A 17699-nucleotide genomic window follows, 5' to 3' on the forward strand; every position below is an offset into this window, starting at 1 on the left:
TGCTTAAGGGGCTGAAAGTTAACACCTTTGTGATCCACGCTGCCTCATGGTGGCTGTTAAACAAAAGCCTCTTTGTCGAGGCTTTCTTGAAGTGTTTTCTTAACATGTTCCAAGTAGTTTTAGGCAGGGAACTAAAGTAAACAAGATGTTACCATGATAAAAACACTTGTGAAAACATTACAGAGCACACTTAGTAGTTTCTTTCACACAAAACTCTTCACAGTTTTGAAAAGTAAAATTCACAGAAAAAAATTTTAAAAAGCAAGTTACCAATGAAATGTCCTCTACTGTCTACAGCCCTCGACCTTTCGGGAAGGGTCAAAGTTCCATTTCTGGGCATTTTCTTCAACATTTCTCTGTCTTCCATTACAGCACATATACAGTTTATTTTGGCTTTCATAAATTACATACATCTAACAAGCAAGGGAATTTTTGTTTTGTTCTGCATGAAGTTTTTCTCCCTGAGAAATCACCAAAAGAAAAAAAATTCTTTTCAAATAGGATACTAAGCAAGGATACAAATGATACTTTTAGTAGACGTTATACAAGTGGTCACTTAAAAGAAAAACTAGGAGAAATGGAAACATTTTCCCCCAAGCACATAAGAGTACCTGGTGTTTGTGAAACTATGGGCCTGCATTTGATTTTACCTTCTAAGTTAAAAACAGGGAAATGTGGTCAGGATTTAACCTTCAAATCTACTCCTCATTTTGCCAATGCATTACATGAGCATTAAAAAAAGGGAGGGGGAGGAAAGGGAAGAATTACAAATCCACGTTTTTACTAGTGAAGATTGTGTCTTTCACCTGGTTTGAAAAGAAGAAAAAAGAAAGGACTCAAGTGGGGAGAAGATGGAAGAACGCCGATGAGCTTCACACCACTCTGGATGATACGGGACTTGTTTTTGTTTTTCTGTTATCGGAGGATGCCAAGCAATGCAGGGCTGGACGATTTCATTAGAGTTAGCAGGAGCACCTGCTGCTATCAGTTAGCACTAACAAATGCAACAGTCACATGATAACTCATGGTTGATAGATTAAAAAAAAATCAACACTAAAACTGCAAGTTGTTTTCAGAAGAAACAGGGAAATAAATGCATACAATAGACTGGGTATCTGCTGATTCTGATAAAGCGTCCCTCTGTTGGCGGTGAGGGAAAGACAACAGGATGGTTATTTGTACAGTATTTATCTTTGAAATCAAGGGCCCTGTGGTATACCTCACCTTGGGAACAAATGCTGCAGAATGATCACAGAAAAGTGTCAAATCTCTGGTTTTGATTTACCAACAGTTATGATATTTCTTCCTCAGGAGGGAAAAAAAAATATGCTTCAGTTTTAGACCTGTGAGTCCCCCCCACCTCTCTTTTTTCTGAACCCCTCTCTCTGTTAACAGTGGCACAGTATTGACAGATGGGATTTTTATCCTGAAGAACCAAGCTTGGCCTCTGTAACAGTTACAGCTTATTAATCTGGAGCTGCAGAAGACCAGAAAGCTGTTACCTGGCAAAGTCACTTCCTCTCCCTTAGTCTGAACCCTAAAAACTGGGTGGAAGAACCCAAGATCAAGGAAGTACAGCAACCATGGTTGGTCAATGAAATCATGGGGGCGGGGGGGGGGGGGCGCATGACACACGTGGATATCTCCCCTCAAATATGACTAACTTGAGGGTTCTGTGAATCCAAGCTAACATAACCCTGGATAGCTATGTCCGGGGCCACAAAAGCATTCCTCAGCTAAAAATATGTTGGTGACACCAAAAATGGTACAGCAAACTGTGGTCCAAGGGACACAGCCATACTCGTTCCTTGTTCCTTACGCATGGTCAACGGCTGCTTTTGTACCCCAATGGCAGAGCTAAGTCGAGTTGCTGTGACAGACACTGTATGGCCTGCAATGCTGAAAATATTTACTGTCTACCCCTTTATGGAAAAAATTTGCCATGCCCTCCCCTCTGTGTGGGACTTTTTACCAGAGGTTTCTGATTAAAACATTCTATTACAGAACAATTTCTTCGGATATATCAATGCTTTGCATAGTCACAACTCCTTTTCCTAGGTAGAAGGTTGGAAATTTTTGGATATTTAAAATTACTCATCCTTGAAAAATAAATATATCTAAGTAGGTTAAGAAGTTCTAACGCTTTTAAAGAGTGCCTAGTATGGGCTAGGCAGTTTATATGATGTACTTTTTATTTACTCATTCATTTATTTAATTTTTAGAGACAAGGTTTTGCTTTGCTACCTAGGCTACAGTACAGTGGCATTATCATAGCTCACTGCGGCCTCGAACTTCTGGGCTCAAGTGAGCCTCCCACCTTAGCTTCCCAATTAACTAAGACTATGGGCACATGCCACGACACCCAGCTGAATTTTTTTTTTTTTTTTTTTGGCAGAGATAGGGTCTTGCTATGTTGACCTGGCTGGTCTCAAACTCTTGGCCTCAAGAAATCCTTCCACCTTAGCCTCCAAATGCATTGGGATTACAGGGGTAAACCACCTGTGTCTTGCCTGGTGTACCTTTTAATTCTAACAACCGTAAAAAGTGGTTAACATCCCAAATCACATGTGCTGATACTGAGGCTCAGATGACATGTGGCTAGTTCAAAGAACATATTAATAATGTCCTCACTACCCAGTCAGGCTTTCTCCAAAACTTTCTTTACATCCACTGCCAAGCAGAAAGCAAACTGTCAATAAGAAGTGCTGCCTCTAACCAGGCTGTATAATGCAGCAGTTAAGAATAAGTCTTCTGAAGCCAGACTGCCTGGGTTTGGACCTTGACTCCACCTCTTATTAGCTGTGTGACCTTGGGTAAATCATTTAACCTCTCTGGGCATTAGTTTCCTTAACTCTATGCTGGGAATACTACTACAATACTAGCATAAACTGTTTGTGAGGATTAAATGAGTTAATATATGTGAAGCATTTCGGGACTATGCCTGTTTTAAGGTTCAGTACTATTTAATTATAAACTATTACTAGGGGAGTGTAAAATCAAGGGAACAGAAAATAGGTGAAAATAATCTATGAAGTAACACTTAAATCAAGGTCAAAGCAATGTTACCTTTATTAAGTAAGAATACCAAGGAGAATTCAAGCAACACTGCTATCAATTTGCCTAAACCATAAGAAATCCCTTCTAAAAAAGAAAGGGACAACTGAAGAGAAGCGTAGACTAGAGAATTTTGGGTCCACTGAAGCAAATGAAGATGCTTTCAGGATCTATGAATCCAGCAATCTGAGCAAAGTACTTGATGCATCACTCTCTGATGACAATAACCCCCCCTCCCCCCCCACCCAGTGAGATCATTCAAAGAAGCCAGGTGGTTTTTACTTGAACCACAGAAGTTTGCTAGCTTCTTTCAGTTCGGTTCAATGGAAAACAAAGTTGGTTTCATCAAAGTCAATTTGATTTCCCTTTAGACTGAACAGAGAAGTGGGAAATGTGAATCTACAAGAAGACTAACTTATTTTCCACTGCACTAGGCAAGATCCTGATACCTGAAGACAACTCTGAATTTCCAAGAGTTAAAATCATGTTGTAGAGGAAAACTGAAATCCTGAATTTGTTACATATGACCAGTCAATGCGTAACTCAGGAAAGCATCTAGGGGAGTTTCTTCTTACTCAGCATTTGCTCTCCTTTGCTACTTTACAATATTCATTTTTACATTCTTGAAGCAACTTTCTCATCCCCAGCCCCCATGTGGTTCACGTGGGGTGAACATCTCCCTCTGTTCTGGAGGCAGCATGTAATGCAAGCCAGGGCACATCATGGTGATTGGCTCAAAGCTAGAACACATGACTCAATCTGGGCCAATGACAGTCTGCCTATGGCTTTTTCTGGGGCTACATGGAAAGAGATACTCTGTGGGATTAATAAACCTGTCCTCTTCAGTTCCACTTGGAAAGAGCCCCCAGATGAAGACAACATAGAAAAACAGAGCTAATGGACAATCAATACTCCAACAGCCTTGGTTAAATATCAGGATCTAGCCATGCTTGAAGCCAGCTGTACCACTGGACTTCCTAGCAATAGGGGCCAATTATCATCCCTCATTTATTTATTTATTTTTTTCGCTTCAGCCAATTTAAGTTGGGTTTCTGTAACTTACAAACAAAAGTCGTCTTACAAATATAAGTCAATAAATAAGTACCAGGAAATAACCAAGCAACAGTTGCAGGTTGATAGTGGGCATTCCAATTCCACTGAGCAAACAGGAACTGAGAACATGTCGTGTCATGTGCAAAACCACAATAAATAATTGATAGGTGGTTTCCTATACAAGTGCCAGACTTCTAATATCTTTAGAAGAGAAATGGGCTCTTTTATAGGAATTGAGTCTAGGCCCCAATTCTAATGATCTTTATTTTCTTTAATACGAAAATTATTCTCTCTCCTTTTTGGGATAATCTTCTAATAAATATAACCTAATTGTCAGCTCACATAACAAATGAACCTATGATTTGAGGATTTTTTACGGTAGGCATAAGTTAGCCATTAACAAAATGTTTAAAATGGGTCTAGAAACTGTCATTTCCCTTTCTGACTCTGAAACTGATATATGTCCCTGAGCTTATGGATAGCAATTTTATAGTTCTAGAGACTTTATAACAATAAATCATATTTACAGATGTTTATCAGCCATTCTACAGATGGAAGAAATCGGTACCAAGGTATTTATCAAACCTAGCACTGGTGTAGAAGAAAAAACTCAGAATTTAAAAGTGGCTCTGCCAAGTTCTTTTTCTCTCATTATATAAATATGATTAGGCAAATGATCAGGAAAGAACAAAACTAAGATTCTATAGTGAGTGATTTCTAAACAAAACAAAACCCAATATCACTACTCTGAATGATAATAATTGTAAACGGCTGTTGCTTAATTTAAAATAAAGCATTGCTGATCGTGATTGTTCACATCTAGAAGCAATTTTGGACATCTCTTTTAAAATATTTTTAAGTACTTAAGTTTTCAATGACTACATAATGCTCTCAGAGTATAATCCTGAGGCAAGAAAGCTATGAAATAGATTCACAGGCTTCCATTCATTAACCAAAAATTTATATTCACCAAAACTGCTTGCAGGTAACACAAGGTATCTCTCTAAGGATGGCTTTATTACAATATTTGTATCGGGTCCATAAAGATAGATACAGAGACTGTTCTAACAATATAAAGACCACACAAAACTGGAGACCTGCACATAAATCAGCTCACCTCTGTTTCCCTGGGGCTTGAATGAGAGAGAAAAGCTAGAAGGAGATGGTCCCCAACACCCAATTTGTAAACCATCAAGCACCCAGATGTATACATGGGCATATGTTATAGTTATACATGTGCCTATGTTATAGGTATACATGTGCATATGTTTGATTACATGTCTATAATATCATGTAACATTATATTCAATTCATAGGTTAATGATTCAGTGATATTATGAATATATTTATATGATACAAAAATGGAGGGCAGTTTGGTCTAAATTTTATTTTTAACTGACAAGGTAACACAAGTAAGGAATAGCATAGAAGCATTTCACTTCAGCTATGAGATTAATATTATTTCCTTACAGAGATGCTTTATAGGTGTTATAGCTTCAAATGGGCCAACCCAGGTCTTAGTCATACTTTAACAGTAGAAATTGTTACTCCACTTTCCCTATAAGGACAAGAACCTGAACAAAAGTCAATACCAATATAGAAAGTTAAGAACCAAATTGGTAGCTTTCCTCGCCATCTGCTTTCTACATTTATAAAGTCAATTGTATAACAAAGAATGGGTCCAATCACCCAGCTGCAATTGGCCAGTAATTGTCACCAATTTTATAAAAATAAAGTGCATATGCAATTGCTTCAAAGAGAATAAAATACCTAGGAACCCAACTTGCAAGGGAAGTGAAGGACCTCTTCAAGGAGAACTACAAACCACTGCTCAATGAAATAAAAGAGGATACAAACAAATGGAAGAACATTCCATGCTCATGGATAGGAAGAATCAGTATCGTGAAAATGGCCACATTGCCCAAGGTAATTTATAGATTCAATGCCATCGCCATCAAGCTACCAATGACTTTCTTCACAGAATTGGAAAGAACTACTTTAAAGTTCATATGGAACCAAAAAAGAGCCCACATTGCCAAGATAATCCTAAGCAAAAAGAACAAAGCTGGAGGCATCACACTACCTGACTTCAAACTATACTACAAGGCTACAGTAACCAAAACAGCATGGTACTGGTACTACAACAGGGATATAGACCAAGGGAACAGAACAGAGCCCTCAGAAATAATACCACACATCTACAACCACCTGATCTTTGACAAACCTGACAAAAACAAGAAATGGGGAAAGGATTCCCTATTTAATAAATGGTGCTGGGAAAACTGGCTAGCCATATGGAGAAAGCTGAAACTGGATCCCTTCCTTACACCTTATACAAAAATTAATTCAAGATGGATTAAAGACTTAAACGTTAGACCTAAAAACCATAAAATCCCTAGAAAAAGAAAACCTAGGCAATACCATTCAGGGCATAGGCATGGGCAAGGACTTCATGACTAAAACAGCAAAAGCAATGGCAACAAAAGCCAAAATTGACAAATGGGATCTAATTAAACTAAAAAGCTTCTGCACAGCAAAAGAAACTACCATCAGAGTGAACAGGCAACCTACAGAATGGGAGAAAATTTTTGCAATCTACTCATCTGACAAAGGGCTAATCTACAAAGAACTTAATTTACAAGAAAAAAATCAAACAACCCCATCAAAAAGTGGGCGAAGGATATGAACAGACACTTCTCAAAAGAAGACATTTATGCAGCCAACAGACACATGAAAAAATGCTCATCATCACTGGCCATCAGAGAAACGCAAATCAAAACCGCAATGAGATACCATCTCACACCAGTTAGAATGGCAATCATTAAAAAGTCGGGAAACAACAGGTGCTGGAGAGGATGTGGAGAAATAGGAACACTTTTACAGTGCTGGTGGGAGTGTAAACTAGTACAACCATTGTGGAAGAAAGTGTGGCGATTCCTCGAGGATCTAAAACTAGAAATACCATTTGACCCAGCCATCCCATTACTGGGTATATACCCAAAGGTTTATAATTCATGCTGCTATAAAGACACATGCACATGTATGTTTATTGCGGCACTATTCACAATAGTAATACTTGGAACCAACCCAAATGTCCATCAATGATAGACTGGATTACGAAAATGTGGCACATATACACCATGGAATACTATGCAGCCATAAAAAAGGATGAGTTCATGTCCTCTGTAGGGACACAGATGAAGCTGGAAACCATAATTCTGAGCAAACTATCGCAAGGACAGAAAACCAAACACCGCATGTTCTCACACATAGGTGGGAATTGAACGATGAGAACACTTGGACACAGGGTGGGGAACATCACACATCAGGGCCTGTCGTGGGGTGGGGGGAGAGGGGAGGGGACAGCATTAGGAGATACACTTAATGTAAATGAGGAATGGGTGCAGCACACCAACATGGCACATGTATACATATGTAACAAACCTGCATGTTGTGCACACGTACCCTAGAACTTAAAGTATAATTTAAAAAAAAAAAGAAGATGACACCTCCAACAACAACAACAACAACAACAAAATTATAGTGTATATGTCATTGATTTGATATGTAAGGACATGAATAAAAGTAAACGCTAAAAAACTGCAAGTTTAATACTGGAATCGTTTTTTTTAATCCTTGTCACTCTGAAAAATGGGTAAATATGGGCTCTTACTAAGACTTACGCCTTTGAATGTAAGCCTTTTTCCCATTGTAGTACAACCCTCAATAGATTTTGTAACTATTCCTATGACAGTGCACTAGACCTTGTGATTTAGAGTCCACTCTCAAAGGGGTGAGGTGAAACTCTCCATCAAAAAGGCATTTTATGAGCAAAGCATGAACGGTGGGAGGTGTTGGCTATGTAAAAGAAGAAAACAAAATAAAATCATTCTTACTTTAGAAATGATTGGAAATCTTCGCACACTGCTTCACAGCCTGGCCACTTGCATACACCATGTCCATAGAGAGGATGGCTATGGGGGTGCTCCTCATGGGACAAACTGAAAGAAAACACACAGAAGACCAGAGAATGAATTTGCTGCCAAGAACCATTCCACCAGACGAGGATAAAAAAGGCAGGAGGAGCCCACATGGCCAAATGTGGACAAGACAAATCTGTGATTTCCCCCATCCCATGTAATTGACTAATTAATTCTGCATTGTTGCCTAAAAGCAAGAGTTAAATTGTACCTAAGTGTATTTAGTCAAATGTTAGAAATGTACATCTATGTATGAAAAAGTGTTTGACAGGCTTTTGTTAGATGCAAAGCTCTTTACTCAGACTGCGAAGGAGTCTTTAAAAAGCTAGAACTTATTTAATCTACATAATGAAAATTATAAAATCTGTACTTGATTTTGAGATTTTCTTGCTACATCTACAAGGAATATTATCCATTTTCTCCTCTTCCCTTCCCCCAGAAACTGCTTTCATATAATCACATATTTTTTCCCAAGTTAATTTTATCCAGCAAAGAGGAGTACAATTAAATAATTTGGAATAATACCAAAATAATTTAGGAAGACAAATGTATCCAAGCAGATGATTCGTGTTTTTTTTAAAAAAGCTAATAATGGCAAGAAGATTATATTCCTAAAATTCCTAACACCAACAGTGAGAGAAAATTTGGCATGAACACGAAGGGGTTAATCCTCCAGTGGGGTTCCAATCAATACGTAATGATCTGGCCACACGGATCCAAGTCATGGGATGCTTTGATCCGCACCATGTGGTGCTCGGGGAAGAGTATCTGTTGCACTCACCGATGAACCATATTCTCAAATATTTTCTCTATTATATTTCTGCATCCAGACTTCTTTCAGACAAATTATTTTTACAGTTGTTTCCATAACCTTAAATTCCATCAGATAGAAATGTAAAGCTAACATTGAGAGTTCTGTTTCGTACTCAAGTGCATTCCCTTCCCGGGAAGGGCTATTTTGCAACTTACTCGACTGTCTCTGCCTGACTTTGAACTTCAAGCACAATGAATGATGATTACAAGAACACACACACACACACACACACACACACACACACATGCATACACACAAGAGGCCTGTATTTCATTTCATATTGCCATCAGGATGTATATTCATGTATTTTATCAATTTACATTCATAGAGCATATGTACACAAATGCCATTTGTCCCTGACTTATAACACAACCCACAGTAAGTGTATTATGAACACAAACCAAGGAGCATAAAAAGTAAACACACAGACACACAGAACTACACCTGATCAAAGATCATTACGTCTCCCTATGACTTCTGAATAATTTTGCTGGAAATCTAATATAATTTAAAGATAATAACAAGCTATTTTGCCCTACCACAGAAAATAGGTCTTAGAATAAAAAAAAAGGAAAAGAAAAAGAAAAAAAGGTAGAAAAACAACTTGTAAAAATACAGAAAGGTGCCCCTCATACAAGAAAGGAATAAAACAAGGGAACTCAAGTAGCTATAGTGAGATTTATGAAGCCAAACAATAAAAGGATATTCTCTAAGCAGTTAACAGGGTAAAACTGCATTGGACTCAAGGAAAGAATTACTACCTATTTGTGTTCATCTTCAGATCTGTGAATGAATAAAATAGAAATGCAAAAATAGAATTTTAAGAATTTACTAACAGTATTACAAATGAAAGAATACTTCAACAGTAGTAGAATTCTCAGATATTCTAAGAGGGAAGAAAATAATTTAAAAAGAAAACTTTTAATCCACAGCTTAAAAAGAAAAGAAAAATATTCCAACTTTAATAATTATTTTCTTTAGCAATTTTATTAAGATTTAACTATTCTTATAACTTTAAAAGAGTAATATATTGTTATTGTAGAAAACTTGAAAATCCTGAAAAGAAAAAAAAAACCTACCTTCAAATACATACACACTTGATAAGGCACGAATATTTATATCATTCTTTTATATTTAACATAATTTTGTAAATACTTTCTCATGTTCTCAACTCATCTTCAAGAACCTTATTTACTGATGGGTAATAGTCTATCACGTATCAACTTAACTCTAGTTATATGCCAAAATTTAACCATTCCTCTATTTTGGACATTGAGTTTCTCTTCATGTTTGTTATATTTGTAGATAATGTTAGAAATAAAATTTACCAGCTTAAACATGCCAATATTATCACAACTGACTGCTACCAGAAGATACATTCAGAGAAATAGAATCACTCAATTAATGAGTACCAAAATTTAACACTGTGAATATTCTATCAAGTTGCTCTTGAAAAATGCTACATGCCGAGCACACTCTTAGCCAGTATACATATTTTGTGTGATTTTTTCAATTTGGAAACCAGGAACCTGAACTAGTTAGGATGAAAAATTAATATTACTAGTTAAGAACTGTAAGTGGTTAAACGGCTGTGCTTCCTGGGTTAAGCTGGGAGTGTTCTGAAAATAATAACATGAGAGAAAATAATAATATGCATTCACTAGCAGGGTTTTGGACTCGAAATGTGTAGAATTTAACACGATGTTTGCTGTTCCCCTTCCTGTTTGTAGTTAACTGACTTGTGAAGGATCCAAGATCTGAATAAAACTATTCACATCTAAGAATTTACTTTTAGTTCAACTTGTTATCCCTATACTTCAAAGGACAGATAACGACACACTAGGGCCTTAGAACGCAATCAGTTATACCTGAAGTCTAAAGAAACTCATACTCGTCACACACGGGTACAATTACACATTCAGAAGACCGCTTGTGAATTTGTCTCTTAGTTAAAAAAATTTCTTTATTATGAAAAAATTACATGCTCTTGTTTTCACAAGTTCACATATTAAACTGCAGTGGTTCCCGAAGGAAGTGCACCCCCACACCCCAACCTAGGCATCATTTACCATTCGGGTTTATATTGCATTTCTAACACATTATTATTTTAAAACATGGAAACATCCTGTACACACTGTTGTCATTTGCTTTTCATATTTAATATATAACTGGATACTTTTAAATACACAATTGTCTGAAATAAAGTGTTTGGCTTTGGAAGGAGAGAGAACAAGCTGGCAGAGGTGCCTCGATAGCATCTTTTTGGAAAGATACCTAAGAAACTGGAACAACTGTTGCCTCTGGGGAGGGGTACAGGGAGTCAGGAGTAGCAGGGAAACTCAGTTTTCACCATACTTCTTACATCTTTTGAAGTTTTAATTTTGCACATTGTAGGAACTGTTGCTGTGCAATTGTTAATTTTTTTGCACACATATGTGTGTTTGCATATATGTATGTAGTAGAAAAAGAATCAAGTGCTATGCAGGACTTGATTTCCAGTCTGCTGAGTGCTCTAACAGTGGCACAATGAATACCACACACCCGCTGCATGTGTGGCTGGGACTCGCTTCTAGCTTTGCAGTCGTTCTGTATGAAGCATCATTGGACAACACCAGCTGCACCTCTGAATGGGAGCTTTTCTGTTTTCTCAAAAAAGTGGAACAAGCATTTATATTCTTACTGCCTTTTGGGTCGTGCCAAAAAAGACAAGAAGGGAAATAAAAATGAGGAGAATAATGTTTTTATCTTGAATTAATTTAGAGCTACATTTACAGGATGAAACATGGTGGGAAAAGGATGATTTGGGCATCTGATGGTAAATAAAGCAGTGAGCCTAATCATTTAGATAAATTATTCAAGGGTAAACTCACCAATGTGTAAAGTATCATTTCTGAAAAGCTGTCAGGGTCAGTGATGAAAATAGATACATTTTCTTTTTAAAAGATTTAAACATGTTTGTCAAAATTAGACTTCTAAAACTTTAGGGTCAATTGTTTAATAAGGTGTATTTTACCACAAACTCCCAGGTTGAATATTCCTAGGGGCAGGGATCACTTTTTCGGCTCCATATACTCAGTACCTCCGACAGAACATAGGTTTGAGTTCGGGGGCGGTGGCTCACGCCTGTAATTCCAGCACTTTGGGAGGCCGCAGTGTGTGGATCATTTAAGGTGAGGAGTTTGAGACCTGCCTGGCCAACATGGTGAAACCCTGTCTCTACTAAAAAATACAAAAATTAGTCAGGTGTGGTGGTGGGCACCTATAATCCCAGCTACTCAGGAGTCTGAGGCAGGAGAATCGCTTGAACCTGGGAGGCAGAGGTTGCAGTGAGCCCGATTGCACCACTGCACTCCAGCCTGGGCGACAGATGACAGAGCGAGACACGGTCCCCCCCCCAAAAAAAACAAAACAAAACAAAACAAAACAAAACATAAAACCACGGGCTTGATGAATGTTAGGTGGATTTATGAATGAACAGACAGTAAATATATTGTTCTATTTCATTTCTGTGTGGCTATACATTCAACTGGTGTTGGCCTTTTTAAAAATGTCTTGTAGGTAAAGACCAGAATTATGCAAAGCTACATGAGAAACTATCGTTATGACACTTTCTATTATTTAATTTTATTCTGAATATATAAAACACAGATAGTATGCATTTGAGAAAAGCCAGTTAATTTAAATTTCTCTTGATAATCCTTGATATGTAAAAATTAAATATAATTTTAACACAAAAATAGTGATAGCATTTCAGATTAGAAAGAACCAACTTGCATGAAAAGTATAATTACATATAAATATGTAATAATTTCTGACATTAAATGATACCAAATCCAGTATATATTCAGTAGGATATAAGGGTGTCATTTTCAATGACAGTTAAGTAGGATATTTTGTTCTATTTATTTTTTTCTGCATCAAAGTATACCACCCAAGGTCTTCACTTCAACACTGACCTTAGTTTTTGAGACAATTTTATATAATGGTTATGGTTCCTTATGACATTTCATGGTTATATTCCCAAGGTCACTACTTAACCAAAGCTTCAAACTGGAATTACTAAATCCACCTGCTAAATAAGGACAACTTCTCAACTCTGCTGTCTGCAGTCTTTAGTGATCCTTACACTGTTAGTCCTGTAAGCTAATTTCCCCTGTGGTAACTAAGAGGGAAGAATTTCTGAAGGAGATGAAGCAAAGAGTGACCTTGCTATCTGCCAAGCCATTTCCTGCCAACTGAAATGCCAGTTTTCCCTTCACCTGAAGGCAGATTCCGAGCTTTTCCTGTGCACTGACCCAAGTTCTCATCTGTCTTTTAAGTATCCCCTTAATTTTTCTTCCCTTTTCCAAATCTGCCTCTTTCCAAATTTGCCTTGTTTTCCTCCTCTCCAAATTTCTGATTCATCTGCAGCAAAAGGCTACGTACATCTGTGCCCATTACGGTTTATGCCTCCCCACAAACACCAAAAAAACGAAATCCTGCCTAAATTATAAACTGTATTTTATTTCACTGGCATGTTATTTGATAAATTAAATTACAGAAGACTATGTTGGTTGTTCTCCACTCACTCAAAATTGTGGAAATACATTTTTCAAGTTTTACTGAGTTATAGTTTACATATCATACAATTCACTCACTTAAAGTGCATAATTCAATATTCACGGAGTTGTGTAACCATCATCACCAACTAATTTTGGAACATTTTTATCATCCCTCAAAAGAAATCCTGTACCCATTAGCAGTCATTCCCCATTTCCTCCCAACTCCCAGCCCTTGCCAATCCCTAATCTTTCTGTCTCTAGAGGTGTGTCTATTTTGGACATTTCACATCAAGGGAATCATACAGTATATGTTCTTTTATGCCTGGCTTCTTTCACTTCCCATAATCCTCGGAGTTTCATTCGTTTACACTGTAGCATTTACTAGTACTTTATTCCTTTTTGTAGCTGAATAGTATTCCATTGTACATACATAGCACATTTATCCATTCATCTGTTGATGAACATTTGGGCTATTTCCACATTTTGGCTATTGCGAGTAGTGCTGGTATGAAGGTGTATGTACATGTACTCTAAGTATCTGTTTTCAATTTTAGGGGATATCTACCTAGAAGTTGAATTGCTGGGTCCTATGGTAACTCTACGGTTGACATTTGGAGGAACTTTGAGACCGCTTTCCAAAGCACTTTATATTCTCACCAGCACTGTGTGAGGGTTCTAATTTCTCCACGTCCTTGCCAATACTTGTTACGTATCTTTATTCCAGCCATCCTCACAGCTAGGAAATGGTACCTTATTGTGCTTTTGATTGAATTTCCCTAATGATTAATGAGGCTGCACATATTTTCATGTGCTTACTGCTATGTGTGTATCTTCTACAGCAAAATGTCTATTACGAGCCTTTGCCTATTTTTTAATTGGGCTGTTTTTTGCAAATATTTACTCCTGTTTTGTGGGTTATCTTTTTACTTTCTTTACGGTGTGCTTTAAAGCACAAACATTTTGAATTCTGATGAGGTCCAATTTATATATTTTTTCTTTGGCTCCTTCTGTTTTTGGTGTTACATCTCAGAAACCATTGCCTAAACTCAAGGTAACAAAGAGTTACTTCTAGCTTTGCTTTAAAGAACTTTATAGCTTTAGCTTTCACATTTAAGCCTATGGTCTGTTTTAAGTTAATTTTTGCATATGATATGAGTCAGGGGTCCAAGTTCATTTTTTTTAATGTTGTCCCAGCACCATTTGATAAAAACACTACTCTATCCCCAATGAATGGTTTGATAAAAGTATCAAACCATTACTTTTGTCAAAATGAACGTAAATGTAAGCGTTGGCATTTTTTAAATTTCACTTTTCTTAGATTTCTTTTTCCCCAACATACTGCTCATGTTTTCAAAAGAATTTATAGTTAAAATTATATAACAACTTTTGAAATTACATTAAGCTATAAAATAACTTTTGAGGTTTGACGGGTAGGGGGAGAGATAGGTTTTTAATAAAAATAAAACCATAGCAGCTGAACTTTTTGAAGAATAAGTGCCTAAGGGCAACTTTGTTTCCCAGATCCTGTTGATCCTTTGTGTACTGAAAAACCTTTGCAGAATGAATGTGCTATGTGGCTTTCTCTGCTTAACATGTAAATGGAGTGTAACTGTTCCTTTTACTGAGGGCCAGCACTATTTCCCTATAGGAATGGTTGGGAGCATAGTGTTGGGAGGCCTCATTTGTCATGATAGCTCTGCTTGTAACCAGGAATCCTGCGAGTCCTTTCACTGCTCTGCCCTCCAATTCCCTCATTTGAAAGCTGAAGAGAATCACACAAGAGCTCCTCCCAGTGGTAAAACCTCCACCAAACTTCCACCAAGGATATGCAGATGGCATAGGGAACAGGCACCAATGGCACATCCTGGTATTGACAAGATGAATAAGGAGTAGGTGCTGAATGGAAATCCATTAAAGGAATGAATGAAGCCCCTCAGGAAGGAGTATCGGTGTCTTCATCATGGCTGTGGAGCAGGGGGCTGGTTGCTATTCCCCTCTCACTCATCCCTGACCCACAGCAAATACACAAACCAAAAGGCACTATGCATCCCCTTTCCCACCTCCTTTGACTTAAAAGCTGTTCTGCCTCCCTCCCTTCCCCCACTGGCCACCTTCTTCATTCCCACCATTTAGGACTTTCATCCGTCCAGCCAACATTTATGAACTCCGACCCTGAGACAGGCACCGAGCATACTCATCAGTAAGGCTGCTTTGTTGACAAAAGACTTCCATGTCTCTCTTTGTCTGTTATCCTTCCAAATTATTTGGTCTCATGTCCATGTGCACAACTTTATGTCAACCTAACAACACTGTAAGCCACAGAATCCTCCTTTTTCAGGTCCATCCCAGCCTGTGATTTTTGTCTGCACGGTAAGAGACTGCTTATTCCCAGCCAAAACATTACATTAAATCAGACACCTTGGGTTTCTAGAAAGCTGTTCTCTTCATATACAATTTTAGCCCTATCTACTAATAAAGAGTGTCTTAAGCTACACTTACGCTACAATGGCAGGCATCGATGGAAGCCACTACTATTTTAAAGCTTTCAGATTTATTTGCTGATTCTTCAATGACAGCTTATACAAAATGATCCTACTTTCCCTTTTCTCTCTTCACTTTTTAGTTCTTATCACATTTCCCTGCCTGTGACTCTGTTATCATAGCTTACTTTCAATGAGATTGTACCGAACCATATCATGTACTTCTTAGGTTTGAAGATGGGAATACGAATTTGATCCGAGAATATTCTAGTGATGAGGTCCTATCTGAAAATATAATCAGACTTCTGATTTGAAATTACTAAATTTACAAAAACTAATTGCTATCAAATATTTGTGAAATATTTGATCATTAGCTCGAATGAAATATGCTCAGTCACACAAAATGATACCAAACTAGACGAGCTGGCCTTGAAACTTGATCGCAACGACCTTTTCTAAGAAGAGCAAGGTAGATTCACAATCTCAAAGAGATGATTCCTTAAATACTTAGCACCACTTTCCACTTTACAGTGTATTCTTCTGGCGTTTTTCATACTGTTGTATATCCCCTCGAAATCAGCTGGAAATCAGCTGGAAAAGAAATCACAATCTCTTGCAGAAAACAGAACGACAGGTAAAGTTTCTTCACATTCCATACTGTAGCATCGGAGGAAAAGGTCTTACACCTGCCCAAAGACGAGCAGATGAAACGTGGGAACAGGAGAAACGACGATGCAAGGGCCGCATGCGTTTCCCTGGCAGCTTTGTAAAAATGACCTTTCTCCTTCAACTGTCACTGAAAACACTTTGAGAAGCAGATGGGCTTCTTATTTCACACCGAAGAGTTGGGAGACAACTTAGACACTGCATTTCTAGCACACTGCCTTAATTTTCACTTCTCACTCACTGCAGAAAAACACCACCCTACATGTTTATTAATCAGTTTTCCAAAAGTAAGTTGACAATGGGTCCTGTAATCCTCCCACAAAGAGAAGGGTGTTTTATTAAAGCCTATTAAAGGGCCTACCCTAGAGTGAATAAGGATGGAGTTCTCTACAAACTGTAACAAACACACATGCTTCTCCCTTTCTCTCTCACGCAGGGAATCCTTGACTCTCCTTCCCCAGAACGCTCATCATCTCAATTTTCTGCTGCTTTTCAAATCATGTTTAATTAGAGGATTTCACATTCCCATGTGATACGATATTCATGAGTAAAACTTGCAATTGGAGTGACTGTGAATTAGTCTATTAAGTGCCAGATTTGTGATTTTAAACAATGATGGAGATTATTGTTATTATCTGCTCTCAATATTGTGCTCTGAGATGTGAGGACTACCTTAACTAACTTTACATCTGAAATACAAGCTATTAACCATTTATGTCCAGACTTAGTTTTTGTTCCCCCCTTCTTTCTTGATTTGCAAATTATGCTGGGAGAAATAAGAGAGTTATTTTTCTATAGTGGTCCTCAGGGCATGGCTCATGGCCAGTGGTGTGCTGGGTGGGTTTGCATGGTATACCCTCACTTCCATAGTTCTGGACTTATATTCATCTGCGTTGGATAAAGTTTTTATGAGTACATCAGAAACATGATTTCTCAGTAGTTACTTTTTATACAACCTATTTAAACGAGACGATTTATGAAAAATATGAAGTAGATAGTAGTAATAAGTATATGCAGACAAGCCAAAAATGGAGAATGGCAGGAGAATGACTCAAAGAATGTTGACTGGGCCCTAAGGGACTATAAAAACTGTGTCTGGGGAAAAGGGCAT

The 17699-nt window shown here is 37.7% G+C and overlaps 1 protein-coding gene across 18 annotated transcripts in view; it reads right to left on the bottom strand.

The window, feature by feature from the left end:
• FOXP1 (forkhead box P1) overlaps positions 1-17699 on the bottom strand; it is a 629271-nt gene that overhangs the window by 52838 nt on the left and 558734 nt on the right. For all 18 annotated transcript variants that reach the window (NR_146143.3, NR_146142.3, NM_001244810.2 and 15 more), the window contains one exon: positions 8004-8108. Coding sequence is in view for 16 of the 18 variants with exons in the window: in NM_001244810.2 (NP_001231739.1) it covers positions 8004-8108 (105 nt within the window). In the remaining 2 variants the exon portion in view is untranslated. The remainder of the gene's footprint in view (positions 1-8003; positions 8109-17699) is intronic.

Source organism: Homo sapiens, chromosome 3 (genome assembly GCF_000001405.40).
Source record: "Homo sapiens chromosome 3, GRCh38.p14 Primary Assembly".
NCBI lineage: Eukaryota > Metazoa > Chordata > Mammalia > Primates > Hominidae > Homo > Homo sapiens.